The sequence below is a fragment of the Homo sapiens genome, chromosome 9 (assembly GCF_000001405.40).
Source record: "Homo sapiens chromosome 9, GRCh38.p14 Primary Assembly".
NCBI lineage: Eukaryota > Metazoa > Chordata > Mammalia > Primates > Hominidae > Homo > Homo sapiens.
In genome coordinates this window covers 124,941,689-124,961,569 of record NC_000009.12, presented here as the reverse complement: position 1 = coordinate 124,961,569, position 19,881 = coordinate 124,941,689, and the positions used below count along the sequence as shown (strand labels likewise).

General features: G+C 38.1%; 2 protein-coding genes across 3 annotated transcripts in view, besides 1 other annotated feature; both read left to right on the top strand.

Moving 5' to 3' along the window:
- SCAI (suppressor of cancer cell invasion) overlaps positions 1–18,962 on the top strand; it is a 200,921-nt gene extending 181,959 nt beyond the window's left edge. For both annotated transcript variants that reach the window (NM_001144877.3, NM_173690.5), the window contains one exon: positions 8,617–18,962. In NM_001144877.3, the coding sequence (NP_001138349.1) occupies positions 8,617–8,763 (147 nt within the window). In that variant the 3' untranslated portion in view covers positions 8,764–18,962. The remainder of the gene's footprint in view (positions 1–8,616) is intronic.
- Positions 11,137–11,186: an enhancer, noted in NCBI's record as "active region_28998". NCBI's record gives its function as "activates an Ori minimal core promoter by ATAC-STARR-seq in GM12878 lymphoblastoid cells {active_cell/tissue: GM12878}" and the evidence as "EXISTENCE:reporter gene assay evidence [ECO:0000049][PMID:35858748]".
- Positions 13,527–19,881, top strand: part of GOLGA1 (golgin A1) — a 69,769-nt gene continuing 63,414 nt past the window's right edge. Inside the window, exon 1 of the mRNA XM_047423242.1 lies at positions 13,527–19,877. The gene's annotated coding sequence lies outside the window, so the exon portion shown is untranslated. The remainder of the gene's footprint in view (positions 19,878–19,881) is intronic.

The window sequence follows — 19,881 nt, the reverse complement described above, 5'->3', positions numbered from 1 at the left end:
CAAGCAATTCTCCTGCCTCAGCCTCCCGAGTAGCTGGGATTACAGGTGTGTGCCACCACGCCCAGCTAATTTTTGTATTTTTAGTAGAGATGGAGTTTCACCATATTGGCCAGGCTGGTCTCGAACTCCTGGCCTCAGGTGATCCAACCGCCTCAGCCTCCCAAAGTTCTAGGATTACAGGGATGAGCCACCACGCCTGACACCATCTTATTTTTTAATGCATTTTGAAGTAAATTGCGGACGTCACCCACAAACACTTCATCATGCATATATGTAATATGTTTACTTTTTTTTTTTTTAATGAGATGAGATCTTCCTATGTTGCCTAGGCTGATCTTGAACTTCTGGATTCAAGCTATCCTCCTGCCTCAGCATCAAACATAGCTGGAACTATAGGCACATTGCCACTGCCCAACTACTAATTTTTTTTTTTTTTTTTTTAATTTGAGACAGAGTCTCTGTCTGTCATGCAGTTTGGAGTACAGGGATGCAATTGTAGCTTACTGCAGCCTCAGTCTCCTGGGCTCAAGCAGTCCTCCTGCTTCTAGCCTCCTGAATAGCTGGGACCACCTGAGTACGGTGCACCAACATGCCCAGCTAATTTTTAAATTTTTTTGTAGAGATGGGGTTTTGCTGCATTGCCCAGGGTGGCCTCAAACTTCTGGCCTCAAGCAATCCTCCCACCTTGGCCTCCCAAAGTGGGGTAATAGGCATGAGCCACTGTGACCCACCTACTAATTCTTTTTTATGTAAAGTTTACATACAGTGAAATGCACAAAATTAAAGTTTACCATTAAGTGAGTTTTGAGGAAATACATCTGTGTAACCTAAACCTTTGTCAATTTGTACAAGATAGCATCATTCCAGATTGTTCCTTCTATCCTCCTTTTTAGTCAGTCCAGTACCCATTACCCCAGAGGCTGTCACTCTTGTGATTGTTTTCACTCGAGATTACTTGCATCTGTTCGTGAACTTGACTCACACAGTATGGACTCTTGTGTAAACCTTCTGTGACTAAGCATTGCATTGTGCTTGAGATTCATTCCAGTTGTTTCAGATATCAGTAGCTCATTCCTTTTTGTTACTGAGTAGTATTCCATTGTCTGAGCATACCACAGTTCAGGCATTCTCCTCCTGATGAATACATGGCAGTTGTACAGTGTTGGCTATTACGGGCCAGGGCATGGTGGCTCCTGTCTGTAATCTGAATACTTCAGGAGGCCAAAGCTGGGGCGTCGCTTGAGCCCCAGCAGTTCCATGTTACAGTGAATTATGATCACGCCACTGCATTCCAGCCTGGGTGAGAGAGGGAGTTCCTGTCTTTAAATAAATAAATAGTTGGCTAATAGAAATAAAACCGCTTTTTATTATAAAAAGGCTTGTACAAGCCTTTGCACAGACATTTGTTTTGAATTTTTTTGGTCATAGTATTGGTATGTGTTTAGTTTTATAAGAAATTGCAGTGATTCCTCAGGGATCTAGAACTAGAAATACCGTTTGACCCAGCAATCCCATTACTGGGTATATACCCAAAGGATTATAAATCATGCTGCTATAAAGACACATGCACATATATGTTTATTGCGGCACTATTCACAGTAGCAAAGACTTGGAACCAACCCAAATGTCCATCAATGATAGACTGGATTAAGCAAATGTGGCACATATACACCATGGAATACTATGCATCCATAAAAAAGGATGAGTTCATGTCCTTTGTGGGGACATTGATGAAGGTGGAAACCATCATTCTCAGCAAACTGTCGCAAGGACAAAAAACCAAACACCACATCTTCTCACTCATAGGTGGGAACTGAACAATGAGAACACTTGGACACAGGAAGGGGAACATCACACATCGGGGCCTATTGTGGGGTGGGGGGGATGGGGGAGGGATAGCGTTAGGAGATATACCTAATGTAAATGACGAGTTAATGGGTGCAGCACACCAACATGGCACATGTGTACATATGTAACAAACCTGCATGGCACATGTACCCTAGAACTTAAAGTATTTTATATATATATATATGTGTGTATATATATGTGTGTATATATATATATGTGTATATATATGTGTGTGTGTATATATATATATATATATATGAAATTGCTAGGCCTTATCTCAAAGTGGTTGTACCATAGTTACATTCCCACCAGTAGCTTTTGAAGGTTGCTTTTCATTCTTGCCAACATTGTTGTCAGACTTTTAAATCTGACCATTCTGATGGATATGTAGGGGTATTTAAAATTTCATCAAAATTCTTTTTTTTTTTTCATTTGAAATGCTTTTTTTTTTAAATTTTATTATTATTATACTTTAAGTTTTAGGGTACATGTGCACAACATGCAGGTTTGTTACATATGTATACATGTGCCATGTTGGTGTGCTGCACCCATTAACTCGTCATTTAGCATTAGGTATATCTCCTAATGCTATCCCTCCCATTGAACAATGAGAACACATGGACACAGGAAGGGGAACAAAATTCTTAAAAAATAAAATTTCATCAAAATTAAAAGTTTAGTTCAATGCAAATTGAAGCTACGATGAAAAATCTGAGTTTTTTCTTCTCTGATTTGTGTTTTTGTGTATTATCCCAGAAATCTTTACTTAAAGTTACAGAGATTTTGTTTTTTTGTTTGTTCTTTTTTTTTTTTTTTTGAGACTGAGTCTCACTCTCACCCAGGCTGGAGTGCAGTGGCACAATCTTGGCTCACTGCAACCTCTGCCTCCCGGATTCAAGCAATTCTCCTTCCTCAGCCTCCCGAGTAGCTGGTATTACAGGTGCCCACCACCACACCCAGCTAATTTTTTTGTTTTTAGTAGAGAGGGGTTTTCACTATGTTGGCCAGGCTGATCTCGAATTCCTGACCTCAAGTGATCCCTCTGCCTTCACCTCCCAAAGTGCTGGGATTACAGGCGTGAGCCACCACGCCTGGCCTTCTCCTATTTTCTTCTAGGAATTCTATAGTTTCAGCTTTTACATGTAGGTCTATGGTTTATTTTGAGTTAATTTTTGTTTAAAGTGTGAGATAAAGGTTAAAGTTTTTTAATATGCATATGCAGTTGTCCTAGTACCATATGTTGAAAAGATTTTTCTTTTCCCATTGAGTTACTTTGGTAACTTTGTTGAAAATCAATTAAGCATATATGTATAAGGATATTTCTGAACTCTAAATTCTCTTCCATTGACCTACAGGATTTGTCTCAAATACACTACTGCCTTTACTATTGTAGCTTTAAAAAAGTCTTAAAATCTGATAGGGAGAGTCCCCTTCCCCAAAAGATTTTTAGGTATTTTGGTTGTTTTAGTTCCTTTGTACGTCTATATAAATTTTAGCATCCATGTCACATTTTGCTTGGAATTGTATTAAAAATCTATATATAATTCACCTGTGGGGAATTACTATTTTAATAATATTGAACCTTCCAGTCAATAATAATGGTATATATCCTCATTTACTTATATGTTTAGTTTCTTTCACCAGGATTTTATAGTTTTTATCATACAGGTCTTGCATGTGTTTCATAATTTATTCCAAAATATTTTATGTTCCAGTATGCTTTAAAAATTGAATTATTTGGCTGGACATGGTGGCTCATACCTGTAATCCCAGCACTTTGGGAGGCCAAGGTGGGCAGGTCACCTGAGGTCAGGAGTTAAAGACCAGCCTGGCCAACAAGGCAAAACCATATCTCTACTAAAAATACAAAAATTAGCTGTGTGTGGTGGCGGGTGCCTGTAATCCCAGCTACTTGGGAGGCTGAGGCAGGGAGAATCACTTGATCCCGGGAGGCGGAGGTTGTGGTGAGCCGAGGTCGTGCCATTGCACTCCGGCCTGGGCAACAGAGTGAGACTCCGTCTTTTTAAAAAAAAAAAAAAAATTGTATTATTTGGCCAGGCGCGGTACCTCACACCTCTAATCTCAGCACTTTGGGAGGCAGAGGCGGGCGGATCACAAGGTCAGGAGTTGGAGACCAGCCTGGCCAAGGTGGTGAAACCTCATCTTTACTAAAAATACAAAAAAAAAAAAAATTAGCCGGGTGTGGTGGCGTATGCCTGTAGTCCCAGCTACTTGGGAGGCTGAGGCAAGAGAATCACTTGAACCTGGGAGGCGGAGGTTGCAATGAGCCGAGATTGCACCACTGCACTCCAGCCTGGGCAACAGAGTGAGACTCCATCTCAAAAAAAAAAAATTGAATTATTTTTATTTCATTTTTCAGTTGCTTGTTGCTAATACATAGAAATGCACTTTTAAAACACTGGCCTTGTGGCTGGGTATGCTGGCTCACTCCTTTAATGCCAGCACTTTGGGAAGCTGAGGCAGGCAGATCACTTGATCCCAGGAGTTGGAGACCAGCTGGGTAACATGGTGAAACCCTGTCTCTACAAAAAATACAAAAAATTACTTGGGCTGTGGTGGCACATGCCCATAGCCCCAGTTACCTGGGAGGCCGAGGTAACAGGATCACTTGAGCCTGGGAGGTCAAGGCTACCCTGAGTCATGATCATGCCACTGCTCTCCATCCTGGGTGAAAGAATGAGAAACCCTTTCTTAAAAAAAAAAAAAAAAAATACAGTTGACCTTGTGTCCTGCAGTCTTGCTAAATTTTGTTAGTTCTTTTAGCTTTTTTACATGTTCCTTAAAATTTTCTATATACAAGATCATGTCATCCATCCTTAAACAAAAAACAGCTTTACTTCTTTTTTTCCAATCTATATGCCTTTTCTTGTTATTAGTGCTTTATATCAGGGCTAGGTCTTCTAGTAAAATGTTGAATAAAAGTAGTGAAAATGGACATCCTTGCCTTCTTCCTGATTTTAGGGGAAAGATGTTAGTCTTTAACCATAAATTATGATGTAAATTGTTGGTTATTCATAGATACCCTTTCTCAGATTGACTGAGCTCCCTTCCATTCTTAATTTACTAAGAGTTTGTATCAGGAATGGGTATGGATGATTCGCAAAACTTTTTTCTGCATCTACTGATCTAATATATTCTGTTAATGGAGTGAATAACATTAATTGATCTTTTAATGTTAAATCAGCCAGGCGCGGTGGCTCACGCCTGTAATCCCAGCACTTTGGGAGGTCGAGGTGGGCAGATCACCTGAGGTTGGGAGTTCGAGACCAACCTGACCAACATGGAGAAACCCTGTCTCTACTAAAAATACAAAAATTAGCCAGGCGTGGTGGCGCATGCCTGTAATCCCAGCTACTAGGGTGGCTGAGGCAGGAAAATCTCTTGAACCCAGCAGGCGGAAGTTGTGGTGAGCCAAGATTGTGCCATTGCACTCCAGCCTGGGCAACAAGAGCGAAACTCCATCTCAAAAAATAAAAAAAAAAGTTAAATCAACCTTGCATAGCTATTAAACCCATTTTGTGGTCATATATTGTCCTTTTTGCATTGCTGGGTTGAATTTGCTAATATTTCATTATGGATTTTTATATCTGTTTTATGAATGATTTTGGTTTTTATTTTTCTCGTAATGTCTTCATGTGGTTTTGTTATCAGGATAGCGCTGACCTCATAAATTGAGTTGATATGTTCTTCATTCTCTTCTATTTCTTAAAAAGTTTGTTTAGATTAGAATTATTTCTTCCTTGAAGCCACCTGGGCCTGGAATTTTCTTTTTTAGATTTAAAATTATGAATCCACTTTCAAAGGGCTGTTTATGCATTCTGTTACTTCTTAGTCAATTTTGATAATTTGTGCCTTGAAAGGCATTTATCTAATTTGTTGGCATAATATTGTTTATAATTTTCCATTGTCCTTTTATTCCTGTAGGCACTGTAGTGATCTTTCATATCCCTTATTAGTAATTTGTTTTTTCTTTCTTTTTCTGTCTTGGTAAACTTCCATTAACTTTCGTTTTTTTCACTACCGTTTGTTTCTTTTTTTTTCACTTATGTATGTATTTATTTATTTAAAAAAATTTTTTTTGAGACAGAGTCTCACTCTGTTGCCCAGTCAGGAGGGCAGTGGCGTGCTCTCAGCTCACTGCAACCTCTGCCTCCCGGGTTCAAGCAATTCTCATGCCTCAGCCTCCCAAGTAGCTGGGATTACAGGCACCCGCCACCATGCCCAGCTAATTTTTGTATTTTTTGGTAGAAACTAAAAAACGAATAAGGCCATCACACCCGGCCTTATTTATTTTAAATTTTTGAGACAGTGTCTTGCTATGTTGTCGAGGCTGGCCTGGAACTCCTGGGCTCAAGAGATCCTCCCATCTCCATCCCCTGAGTAGCTGTTTCTCTTTTCTGTTTCATTTATTTCCATTCATACTTTATTATTCTTTCCTTTTTACTTTAATATATATTATAGTGTTTTAAGCTTAGATCTGAAACCTTCTCTTCTAACACAAGCATTTATCTTTAATTTTTTTTTTTTTTTTTTTAGACGGAGTCTCGCTCTGTCGCCTAGGCTGGAGTGCAGTGGCGCGATCTTGGCTCACTGCAACCTCCGCCTCTTGGGCTCAAGCAATTCTCCTGCCTCACCCTCTCAAGTAGCTGGGTACTACAGATGTGCACCACCACACCCAGCTAATTTTTTGTATTTTTAGTAGAGATGAGGTTTCACCATGTTGGCCAGGCTGGTCTTAAATTCCTGACCTCAGATAATCCGCCTGCTTTGGCCTCCCAGTGTGCTGGGATTACAAGGGTGAGCCACCACACCCGGCCACCTTTTATTTTTGACCACATATTATATGACTTATTTATATGGAATGTCCAGAATAAGCAAATTTTTTGATACCAGAAGCACATGCGTGGTTATCCAGGGCTGAGGGAGGGGACTGGGGCGAATGGGGGAGGGATCTGCTAGAGAATAAAGAGCTTCTTTTGGGGGTGACGAAATGCTCTAAAATTGGTTGTGGTGATAGTTAAACAACTTTCTGGATATATTAAATGCCACTGAATTGTATACTTTAAATGGGTGAATTGTATGGTATGTTAATTGTATCTTAATAAAACCGTTACTAAAAAAATACAAGGTGCCTCTCACTAGCTGTGTGACATTGAAGAGTGATCTCACCTTTCTTAGCCTTAGTTTACTTATCTGTAAAATGATAACAGAAGCTACCTCATGAGATTGCTGTGATGTTTCAGTGGGAGGATTGTGTAACTATTGAGCATAGAAGTACTTACCTTTTAAGCATTGCTTTAACTGTATAGTTTCAGTTTTAAAATTTATTCAGTTTGTTTTTTAACCCAAGCATGTGAATTATCTTGGCAGTGGTTTTATCTGCACTTGAAAAGAATTCAGTGTATTCTGCTATTACTAGATGGAATGATATAAAAATGTCAGTTTGTTCCATTTGATATTAAACTAAATTGAAGAGTGTTCTTTGTATCTTCTGTATTTTTGTTGATTTTCTGTCTGCTTTTTCAATTTCTGAAACAGTAGTATTTAAACCTCTAATTAGGGCTGGGTGCAGTGGCTCACGCCTGTAATCCCAGCACTTGGGGAGGCCCGAGGCGTGTAGATTGGTTGAGCTCAGGAGTTCAAGACCAACATGGCAAGACCCTGTCTCTACAAAAAATACCAAAATTAGCTGCGCATGGTTGTGCACACCTGTGGTGCCAGCTTCTTGGGAGACTGAGGTGGGAGGATTGCTTGAGCTCATTGCAAGGCTGCAGTAAGCCAGCCTGGGCAACACAGTGAGATTTTATCTCAAAAAAAAAAATTTATTTTTGTAATGTGTGAGTGAGTCCTATAGGTAGAGAGAAGTTAACATTTGTATGTATGAACTGTTGCATGAAATGTACAGAAAAGTAGCAACTTCTTCAGGAAATTTTAAATGTATGGCAGGATTATAGTTTATAGAACTTACCAAATGAAGAAGAATTTCTAGGCCGGGCACGGTGGCTCACGCCTGTAATCCCAACACTTTGGGAGGCTGAGGCGGGCAGATCACCTGAGTTCAGGAGTTCGAGACCAGGCTGGCCAACATGGTGAAACACCTGGGCTGGAGTGCAATGGCGTGATCTCAACTCACTGCAACCTCCGCCTCCCGGGTTCAAGCAGTTCTCCTGCCTCAGCCTCCTGAATAGCTGAGATTACAGGTGCCCACCACCATGCCCGGCTAATTTTTGTATTTTAGTAGAGATGGGGTTTCAGCATGTTGGCCAGGCTGGTCTCAAACTCCTGACCTCATGATCTGCCCGCTTCGGCCTCCCAAAGTGCTGGGATTACAGGCGTGAGCCATGGTGCCCGGCTGCCCCAGCCTCATTTTAATTTCCAAAGCAATATCTTTTTATTTATTTAACATATACTTGTTGAAATTCTATATGTGTTAGGATTTTCCCCCCAGTAGCATGAATTATATGGTTTCCACGTGATACAGAGCATAGTGTCTAGCAACAATAGGCCTCAGTAAACATTTGTGGAATAACTCACTAAATGAATATATTACATTGATTCATCTGAAACTGTCATTTTTAGAGGTCAAAATGGTTAAATATCAGCAATTCAATATTCAACAAATATATTAATAAGAATCATTCCAGTATAAAAGTGAAAATACATATTACTCCTTGACACTGTTATCAATGTGTATAATTTTCTTTCATTAGACTACAAAACTTGACTTTTCTCTTCTTTGCCTACCAGGAAACACGAAATTATCCAGAATCATATCCACAACTGCCAAGGGATGAAACAGTGGAGAATCCTCATCTCCAGAAGCACATTTTGGAATTAGCATCCATTCTGGATGTTCGAAACGTGTTCTTTGAGAATACCATTGATGACTATTAAAACAAAAACCCTGTTGTCGAAACAAGTTTTCATTTTCCACAAATTTTAAATGGTGCAGTTTTCTAACGTGATAAGACACATAGTGGTGTTACTTAGTTTTTATTTTTTAATTTAGGGCCACCATTTTAAAAACAAACAAAAAAATGTTCACACTTTTAGGGTAACTGTTTTAAAATGCAACCTTTCAGGTCTTTTAAAATCTTAACCTTGGAATTTTTATTTTTTGATTTTGAGGGATGGATATTTACCTCCAACTTCTAATCCTACACTCAAATAGTCACTATTCTCACCCTGAGAAGAGTAAATCATTTATTTTTGTATAATGAGGTAAATCCAACTCTTATACTTGGACCTAAGTTAAATGTCTGGATTTGGAAATATGTAATGGTTCATAATGATGAAGCTAGCCACCATGGACTACTGAAAATCAAGAACAGAGTCCCTCCATAATATATTTTTTCTCATTCCAACTTAGCTGGTAGAAAAATGTTTGATCCTTTGAAACATGATCAAGCCAGTTTTTTGAAATCATTTAATTTCTTTCAATACTGTCATAATTTCAGAAATTGGATTGAATTGCATCTGAAAGCTACATCTTGATTGAGGACTTGAGGTGGTAATATTACTTGGAATGTATGAGTATTATGAGATTTATTTGCATATTTTCTTTGTAGTCTGTGAATGCTGGAAATGAAAAAGGAAACAACTTTGAAATATTTTAGTCAAAAAACCATGTCATTGGTTTCATAATACAATGTCTCCAATAGGAATTCTATTTAAACTCTTGGTTTATGAGATCACATTTAAAGACTGGATTGATGTCTGTGACATAAAGTTTTAATTTTTTGCCTCATTCAAATTTATGAGACTTCAAAGTCATAGATGTTTTAAATTTTGGTAAGGGGTAACTGGGTGTTATGAAACCTAAAATGTAAGTTGATTTTGCATTGGTAATTTGGAAATAAGATTTATTAACATTCCCTGTATTTAGTATTTTATATTCATGCACAAAATTTTTATTATCTTAAATAGGACTCAGTGTATATTATAAAGATTTTTCTTTTTTGTGTTTTCCTTCCCTGTCATTCCCTTTATAATTTCACAGTCACTTGCTATGAAGTCCTCCCTCCTTTTTGATTATGCAGCATTCAATTTCAGAAATCTATGAATGAGAAGGCCTTATACCTAATTTTCTGTACAGGATCACATCTGGCAGTCCCAGGAGAAGTGAGCTGATTGCTTTTGATATCTCTTTCCCATGGCCCTAGGTAAATTATACTCTAAATTTATTTATTTTTTTTGAAACAGAGTCTTGCTTTTGTTGCCCAGGTTGGAGTGCAGTGGGGCTATCTCGGCTCACTGCAACCTCCGCCTCCCAGGTTCAAGCAATTTTCCTGCCTCAGCCTCCCGAGTAGCTGGGATTACAGGTGCCCGCCACCATGCCTGGCTAATTTTTGTATTTTTAGTAGAGACGGGGTTTCACCATGTTGGTCAGGCTGGTCTCAAACTCCTGACCTTGTGATCTGCCTGCCTCAGCCTCCCAAAGTGCTGGGATTACAGGCGTGAGCCACCGCACCTGGCTATTATTTTTAACTTGGTTTTCATTTCTGGCATAGAGACTAATTTGGGTCTAAGTTATTCCCATTCCTGCTTTGATTTGCTGATTTTTCAAACCTGAAGTCCAAAGTTACTGTTTTTGGGGTTTGGGGACTTGGGGAGTATTTTACTTTTTTTTTTTTTTTTTTTTAAGAGACAGAGTCTTGCTTTGTTGCCCAGGTTGGGGTGCAGCGGTACATTCATGGCTCACTGCAGCCTCAAATTCCTGGATTCAGGCAATCTTCTCACCTCAGCCTCCCAAGTAGCTGGGACTACAGGCATGCGCCACCATGCCTGGCTAATTTTCTTTATTTTTTAATTTTTTGTAGAGACATGGTCTCACTTTGTTGAGCAGGCTGGCCTCAAACTCCTGGGCTCAAGTGATCCTCCTGCCTCAACCTCCCAAAGTGCTAGGATTACAGGTGTGAGCCACTGTACCTGGCCTGTTTACTTTTTAAAAATTTTTTTGTTTGTTCTTTCAAACAGTATTTCAGAAAGCTTGGGAAAAGTTACCCTGGAAAGATTTCCTTTGCTAGTGGGTTTTCATTTTCAGGTAAAGACTGCTTTCCTTTTTTTTCAGTATCTTAATAAACTTCATAGCTTTCCTTTAGTAACAGTGTTCATTGAACTACAGCAATAGACTATCTTCGGTTTTCTGACCTCTTGTTTCAATTCCCCTTAAGTCCTGTGCCAGTTATGCTCCTACCAACACAGAGTTTCCTGTCCTCTAATGTTTAAAATAGTATTTACTGTTCTGAGCTTTATCCTCCCCCGTTAAGCATAAAGAACACTGGTCTGAGAACTAGGAGACCTAAGTTCTAGTCCTGGCTTTCCTGGTAACTTAAGCGTTATGCCCTTTGACAACTGTCTTCATGTCTCTGCTTGTTAGCACTCTCATCTGTAAAATGAAGAGGTTGGCCCAGGTCTTCTCCAACTCTGATTCTGTAATTTGGACTCTTGGTTCCAAAAATATTGATTTCCCCACTCCAACCACCAAGAGAACTATTTACCCTGTTTGTAGTGTACACAACCTTTTCTTTTGTAAGTCATATTTACCTAGATTTTGTTCAAGAAAATCTGGGTCCCACTTAGCTGTTTTAGAAACTAGTACAGACAGAGACTCTCCTGAGGAAATTAGAGCTTTTATGATTAGAAACATGCTTGTCTAAAAATGAGGGTCTTAGAAATCACAACATTGACCCTTATGATGTTGCCCCTTAAGCTAATAGTGTAATTCCTTACTGGTAGTTAAAAATCTAAAGTGGACTGAAGTGATCTTGAATCTTCAAAGAGAGGAAAACTGTGCTGGAAAATGTTATTGTTTCATTGATGCCTTCAAAAAAATGCGTATTAAACAAAGACTATACTCCAGATTTTCTTCTGGGCATTGGGGAAGCAAACAAAATAGACTTAAAAATCCTCATGTTCATGAAGCTTACATTCTAGTAGAAGGAGTAAGGCAATAAACATAAGTAATTTATGTTAGAAAATGTTAAGTAGGATGGAAAAGTGTAGATTATGGTAAGGTAAATCTTTTGTTTGTTTTCTTAAGAGAAGAACAATGTTTAAAAGAGTGATCAAGCAGGGCATGGTGGCATGACCCTATTAGTCCCAGCTACCTGGGAGGCCGAGGTGGGAGGGTCACTTGAGCCCAGGAGTTTGTGGCTGCAGTGAGCTGTGATTGCACCACTGCACTCCAGCCTGGATGGCAAAGCAAGACCTCGTCTCTGGAAAAAAAGAAAAGAAAAAGTGATGATCAGGGTAGGCTTCATTAGGAAGGTCACATTTGCATGAACACTTTGCCTTTTCTTTCTTTTTATGAAAGTTTTAAACATAGTTTTTTTGTTTTTTGTTTTTGAGACGGAGTTTCACTCTTGTTACTCAGGCTGCAGTGTGGTGGCAGGATCTCAGCTCACTGCAACCTCCACCTTCCAGTTTCAAGTGATTCTCCTGCCTCAGCCTCCCCAGTAGCTGGGATTACAGGCATGTGCCACCACACCCAGCTAATTTTGTGTTTTGAGATGGGGTTTCACCATGTTGGTCAGGCTGGTCTCGAACTCCTGATTTGAGGTGATCCGTTGGCCTCGGCCTCCCAAAGTGCTGGGATTACAGGCATGAGCCACCACGCCCAGCCTAAACATACAGTTTAATAAATCCTCCTTGTACCTTACCCAGCTTCTGTATTTCTTTAATCAAGGGAGAAGAATTATCTAAAAGGACAGTTGCCCAATGGGCTTGAGCTGATGATAGTGGCAAAGAATTTCATTTTTTAAAAATGCATACCACCTGCCCTTTATAAAAAAATTTAAACCCTAATGTATTTAATTTTATAATTCATAAAAATTTAAATATTGGAACTAAGAACAGAGCAAAGCAAAGGGAAAAAGCACTCCTTTGTTTTCAAATTGCACAAACTGTCCCTGGAGATTCTGATAGTCTCTCATCTCTCTTAACTATCACTGTAAACAACATAGAAAGCATAAGACTGCAAGAAGTCAGTTATACACAAAACAAAATGAAGCACAGTGGAATTTTCTCTTTCTTTATCTGTATATTTCTGAAGTTGGTAAAGCAACTATCTTCTCTATTTTACAGAAGAGAAAGCTGAGACCCAAAAAGCTATTCATAGTGATAGAGCTAGAACTAAAACTCAGATCTCCTCATCTCAGCCCAGTCTTCTCAGTAGCTCAGACTGCTTTCTATAATGAACAAGAAAGAATAATTAGGGATTTGTATTTTGGCACAAAACAGTATCAAATTTTTATTGTAAAAATCCACAAATCTGACATTTTATCTTTTATTCTAGCCAGGATGTATTCTTCATTTGCATGTGTGTGTTTCTCTTAGAAAGTGGTGCTCTCAAACCTTTCAAAGCACAGAATTTATTGTACCCTCTTTATTTTTACCAAATTGAAACGTTTCAGGATTTCAGAAGCAAAGTGCAATCCAATTGTGGCTGGAGTTTTCCTGATAGAGGATCCGGGTGGTTCCCTCCCCTCCAACTTCTGGCTACTGCCCTTTATTTCCTTTGTGCAATAGAATTCCCTGAAACAGATTATGTCGTAATTATACTGATTTAGTCAGGATAATGGGAAAAGCGACAAATCGGATTTATGTATTAGGTATTATGGAGCTTTCTTTAGCACTCTCCTCCAAGTTTAATCTCTGACATGTGTGATATAGTAACTTTCTGTCTCTGAGAAGCAGTTTGGACCCAGCTGAAAAATTTTATTTATGGAGACTTGTAATCAGCCTGATATACAGAGAACACTCTGGACTGGAAATATAGTCAGGTACCAAGGTCTGCTAATTTGGCCATTGCCAGTGATTCAAAACCACCTCCCCACCCTGAGTAAAAGATTTGATATGAATATGAATGCTATGAGTCTCCTGGTGATGTTTTGGGTGTATATGTTCCTGTGTGTGTTTGGAAATCATAGAGGGTATTTACCTTGAGGGCTCTTTTGTTGACCTTATTTATTTGAAATTCTTATTTTATTTGTAATGGCATATGTATATTTTTGTGATGCTACATGCAATCTCTGTGTATACTTTTTGTATATATGTATACATATTTGTAAATATATTGGTATGCAGTGATACAGTATGTGTATATTATGTACCCATACCCATTGTGGGCTGAATTTATTTAAGTTCTGTGAGGACATCCTAGTGGCATTGTTCATGCTGCTGTAATTAGGTTGTGGCTGTATCTCATTCATAAGCCTCTATTTTGAGAGGCTTGTGTTTGGATAAAATGGGCTAATTTGGAGTTGAAATTAGGATATGAAGATCTTAACAGAAAGCTAGATATTTATTCTTAGCTTTAAAATCACCTGCAAATTTTTATTTAAACTGATGATAAATTAGTGATATAACCTGAAAAACCTAAGTATGTGAAACTGAGACACCAGCAGATTCTTAGGCTGTAGTAGTCCTTTATTTTCTTGATCCATATTTAAGTATTATTACTGAGTAGTAAATTATGTATATTGGGGCTTAATAGAGAGGCTGTGGAAAAAAATTGCTTTAATCACATTTAAAAACATAGGAAAATGTCCATTAAATAGGGGAAATATATTCCCAGTTGTCATTTTTATGCCTCATACTGAATTTTGATTTTGGAACAATTCTTTTTTCATCAGTGTTTTATGTGTCTCTATGAGGCAGAAAAGGGGGCATTAGCTAAGGGATGGCCTAACCTAAGTAGGATAGGATTTAGTGAGGAACGGGAGGTTGTTAATTTGTATATTTGCAGCAGCTATGATTAATTTAGTCCTGTCTTGGCATTTCCGGCTACAGATTTTTTCTTACTGGACTTGCATATCAAAGGTGAGTAGGCTCATCTGAGAAAATGCTTCCACTGAATAAAATGCCTTCACTCGTATTGCTGTGTCTCTATGAGACCACTTGTGTTCTGCAAGTTGATGATATATTCGCACATGAAGTAGAGTTTTTAATATTAGATGCATGGTGTGCTATAAAAATCTGGGCCTTCAAACCTCTCCCAAGGATGATAGGGTTGGGGAGGATAAGAGGATAGTAAATACGTGCAATGCCAATTTGTGAACCTATAGAATGTTGCCAAGTATCAATGTTTGGTTACTTCAGTTGACATATTTATTTGCATGAAAGAGTGTAGGAGATGTTTAATATACACTTAAATACATTCACTGCAGAAATTAAGTAGAGGTTATTTTTGCATGATAAAATATAACTGCAAAGCAACTTTTTACACCGTATTCTTTGGAAGATTAAATCTATCTGATCCAATATTATCTTAAAATAGAGAAATTATCTCAGGAGTCTGTTTTACCACCCAAAAAAATGTTACATTTGCTGATTCATTATATTTTAAATAAAACAGCCAACTATTCATAAGACTTTTCAATTATAGTATTAAATTCAGAAATAATTATAACAGCATTTTTCTTGAATAAATATTAAAATTTGGTAATTTATTATTTCTGAAAAATCAGTGAAAACATCCATAGGATCTGATGGTTTGTTGTTTGAATAACCAAATCATTGTTTTTGCACTGGAGAGTAGTAGAGCAGATATTATACCATTTAAAATTCATGGAACTGACTCAGGCTCCTTGTGGATATTAATTTGAGGACAGTAGTGGTAATCAAAAGTACAGTAGAAAACACTTGACATTGTGAATGTGACCTCTGACCCCAACCGTTGTAAAGCCAATAACTTTGAGGGTGAATAAGGTAACACTTGCTTAGAAAACCCAGCCCTTTCCCCCAGTCTCCTGCGCTCTTATACATTGATACTTTACAACTATTTTTGCTGTACCTCTCAGTCTTTCCTGGATAATGGGACCACTTAAAAAAAAAAGTGATTCATCTTCCTCAAACTAGAATTTCAAAGCCTAATACTACACTATGTTCCAGCTTCACTGAGTTTTGAACAAAAAGACTTAAGCATGCCTTGTGTTTAAGGAAAAATAATTGATGTGTGAATGGAATCAATCACCTATTGACGGGAAGGGTGTCAGGATGATGTAGGGTGATATGCCTTTAATTGGATAAAGAGAACTGTATTAAGTATAACTAATTTAATAACTGATTGAAGCACCATTCTTAATTTTAAAATATTTTTGTTAATTTCTTTTGTGGTTTTAAAAATTAATAATTTTTTTTTTTTTGAGATGGAGTTTTGCTCGTTGCCCAGGCTGGAATGCAATGGCGCGATCTCAGCTCACTGCAACCTCCGCCTCCTGGGTTCAAGAGATTCTCCTGCCTCAGCCTCCCAAGTAGCTGGGATTACAGGCGTGTGCCACCACGACCAGCTAATTTTGTATTTTTAGTAGAGATGGGGTTTCACCATGTTGGCCAGGTTGGTCTCGAACTCCTGACCTCAAGTGATCCACCCGCCTCGGCCTCCCAAAGTGCTGGGATTACAGGTGTGAGCCACTGTGGCCGGCCTAAAAAAAATTCTTTTTAATAGTTATCAGACTACTTTAACCAGTGCCATGTTTAAACATACTTGGACAATAGACTCAGTTTTTTTAATAGTTTGAAGTACATTATATTAAAACTACAAACTCACTTATTCAAGCCTAAATTTCATCATAGACTATAAATTGGGTATCAATTTCCTATTTTGGTGGACAATTCCAGTCTGTCTACTACGACAATCATCTTTTTAGGTGTAATATTGTTTAAGACATAGGTAATTTTAGGTTTTATACTTTTCTCCTAGGCTTATGGAATGAAAGCTAATAGGATATCACTTTCAGAATGAAATAGGGAATTATGGCTAGCCTTCTTATAGGGCTGCCGTAAATGATACTTAAATGTTTGTTATATCACTGATTTTCTTTTCTCTTCTGAAGCTGTTGTGAATGTCCACTTTGCCATGATTAAAAGTTGAGATTTGTAAACATTACAATTTGAACCATAAATTTTCTCAAACATGAAATCAGTATGAATAAGTATAAAATTTGAAATGATCATACATGAGAATCCCAAAAGTAAATACTTCCAAACCATAGAGGGATAACCACTGTATTTTTAAAAAGCTTATTTCCACCCTTAAAGAAGCATGCTACTAATTGCTTTTTTTCTAAATTAAAACTATGTACTGTGGTAAATTAAAAATCTGCAGGAAAAATTGCTTAGTGTTTTAGCACAATAAGAATTTTTATTACTCAGGAGTTGGAGACCAGTCTGGGCAATACAGTGAAACCCTGTCGCTACTAAAATACAAAAAAAAAAAAAAAAAAAAAAAAATTAGCCAGGCATGGTGGTGTGCGCCTGTAATCCCAGCTACTTGGGAGGCTGAGGCAGGAGAACTGCTTGTAACCTGGGAGGCGGAGGTTGCAGTGAGCCGAGATCGTGCCATTGCACTCCAGTCTGGGTGACAGAGCAAGACTCATTCTCAAAAAAAAAAAAAAAAGGAATTTTTATTACTATTTCCTGAAGAATGGTTTTTGTTAACTTGTTACTGTATCATTAAAAAGACCTTCTAATGGTTCAGTACAATAATCTAGAACTTGATTTATGTGGCTTTTTATAGTTATCTGAATGCATTCCTTTTGCCACATAGACCATATGGCTAGTTCTCCAACTTTTTTGCTTATTTTTAATAAACCTTGCTGTTCAACAATCAGAGAAACCTTTAGATTTTGGATGATTCTTCCAGTTGAGGTAGAAACATCTTAGATAATAGGAAAGGCAAATACAAAGTCCTAACATTTTCATAGTAGAGTTTACAAGTAAAATAACTTATCCATATAGGTTATCTTCGTTGTGTAGCACCAGTATAAATAGTGATTTCATTAATCATTGAATCAGATGAAGCAGTTATAAATCACTTTTTACTTTGTGCTAAGAATTATTGTAATTTCAGGACACTTTATTATTTCCTCTGAGCAGTTTCCATTGGAAGGTTGAGTTTCCCTTTTTTAAGTTCTAATCATCACTAAAGGTTAAGATAATCAAATAGGAGTTAAAATAAGTTATGTTTGATCTTTTTCCCTTGAAAATAATGCTGAACTTATTGTCTACATTCTGATTATTAGGCAGAAATGCACTTGTTTAAATCATAGAAGTAATTCATTTGGAGGATATAATTACTCGATTTTCTAGTGGTGTGAAATACTTTTTAACAATTGTGCTTGTCTGTAACTGAAATGTTATAGAATTTTAACACTATAGGGATTATAGAGTTATATTAGCTCTCCTCAAGAGACTGAAGCACAATATTTTTCATGTAACAATTCTTATCCAAGTGCTGCTAATCTGTCGTGCAAATAATGAAGCTATTTGGTTGCCTATTTAGCTATTCACAAATCACTGTAATCTTTGAAACAATCTTGTCGTTCATTTGTATTAATATTTGGATATTGTGAGTTAATACTTTAGAAAAAAATCCATCAACTCAGCCCCGTTAGCAAAACTGTTTGGATTCATAGTTTTTATATGTGTTAACAGTAGAATAAATTTTGAAGGGGCTATTTACTACCAATGACTAAGGGGAAAATTATACTGTCACTATCATTTGACTTGAACATTTGTGGTATTGTAAAAGTCTTGTCAGTTGTGTTCTAAATTGCTTAAGCCATACGTTCTCTTAAACAGGATGTTTTTTTCTTCCTTTCCAGCAGCCTTTTTCTTCTTTGTCTGTTATGGTTAATACTCCATAGATTTTAGAAATTGAGAAGTTCTTGAAACATTTTATTTTCTTGAGTTCATCACTTTTGACTCTTGTATGAGATGTGATTTGTCATAAAAGATAGCCTTCCACTACTTCACTAAATGAATTTCAGAGTAAACACTGTGATTCTGCAGAGCGGATTCAGTAGGCTTTCCAATGTTTTCTCCTGCTATACAGTGCCTACCACCTTGAGGGCACTTCAGTACTAGAGGATGAAAACTGAAACGTTGTTTTGATGTTTATTGAATAACGAGATTAGAGAATATTTGATTTTTGTTGTCAGTGTATTAAAGAAATTTTCACATTGATAAATGTTCTCTAGGAATGTGTCTACATTCATCAGGTGTGAACTCTTGTACATGAATTTTGTACCTTGAATCCACATATATATTAAGTGTATCATCAATATAAAAATAAACATTATTTGCTTAAAGTTTTTGGTACTTTTTCGGTATTGACAGCTGAACTGTTAGGGTTTGCTTCATTCAAATATCTCAGAGGCTTTGAACTATCTTGGGGTTGATGCTTCTTGTTAGTTTGTCAATGTTTGAATCCTGGTTTTGGTTTTTTCCCTGCCCTGCTCCTGCAGGTCAGAACTGGAACACGCGAGGGAAGGGACTGTTGAAGAATTGGGTGGAATCTGCTTATTCTTGGGCTTGTGTTGAGTCTGGGGATGGAACCAGAGTTCCTTAAGGTGGAATGGCTGGCTTGGCATTGACGAGTTCAGGGACCTGACTTAGGGTACTGATTTGGACCGTGACTTTTTGTTTGAGATAGAGTTTCGCTCTTGTTGCCCAGGCTGGAGTGCAATGGCGCGATCTTGACTCACTGCAACCTACACCTCCCGGGTTCAAGCGATTATCCTGCCTCAGCCTCCCAAGTAATTGGGATTACAGGCATGGGCCACCATGCCCGGCTAATTTTGTATTTTTAGTAGAGACGAGGTTTCGCTATGTTAGGCTGGTCTGAACTCCTGACCTCGGGTGAACCACCCGCCTCGGCTTCTCAAAGTGTGGGGATTACAGGAGTGAGCCACCGCGCCCGGCCTGGACTGTGACTTGGAACAAGATAGTTTTTCCTCTTTTGTTTATTTTCCTACTGCCTGCATGATTGCTATTTATTTAAAGAGACGGAGTCTCGCCACGGTGCCCAGGCTGGTCTGGAAGCCCTGGTCTCAAGAGATCCTCCCACCTCGGTCTTCCGAGTAGCTGGGACCACAGAAGCGCGCGCCGTGCACTTTTGATGTTTTCAACTTCCTTCCTAAGCAGAAAGGAGACGGCCCAGCAGCGGATGGTGAAGCTAATCCAATATAGTGAGCTGCCACCAGCGTTTTTAAGTGCATTACATAGTAA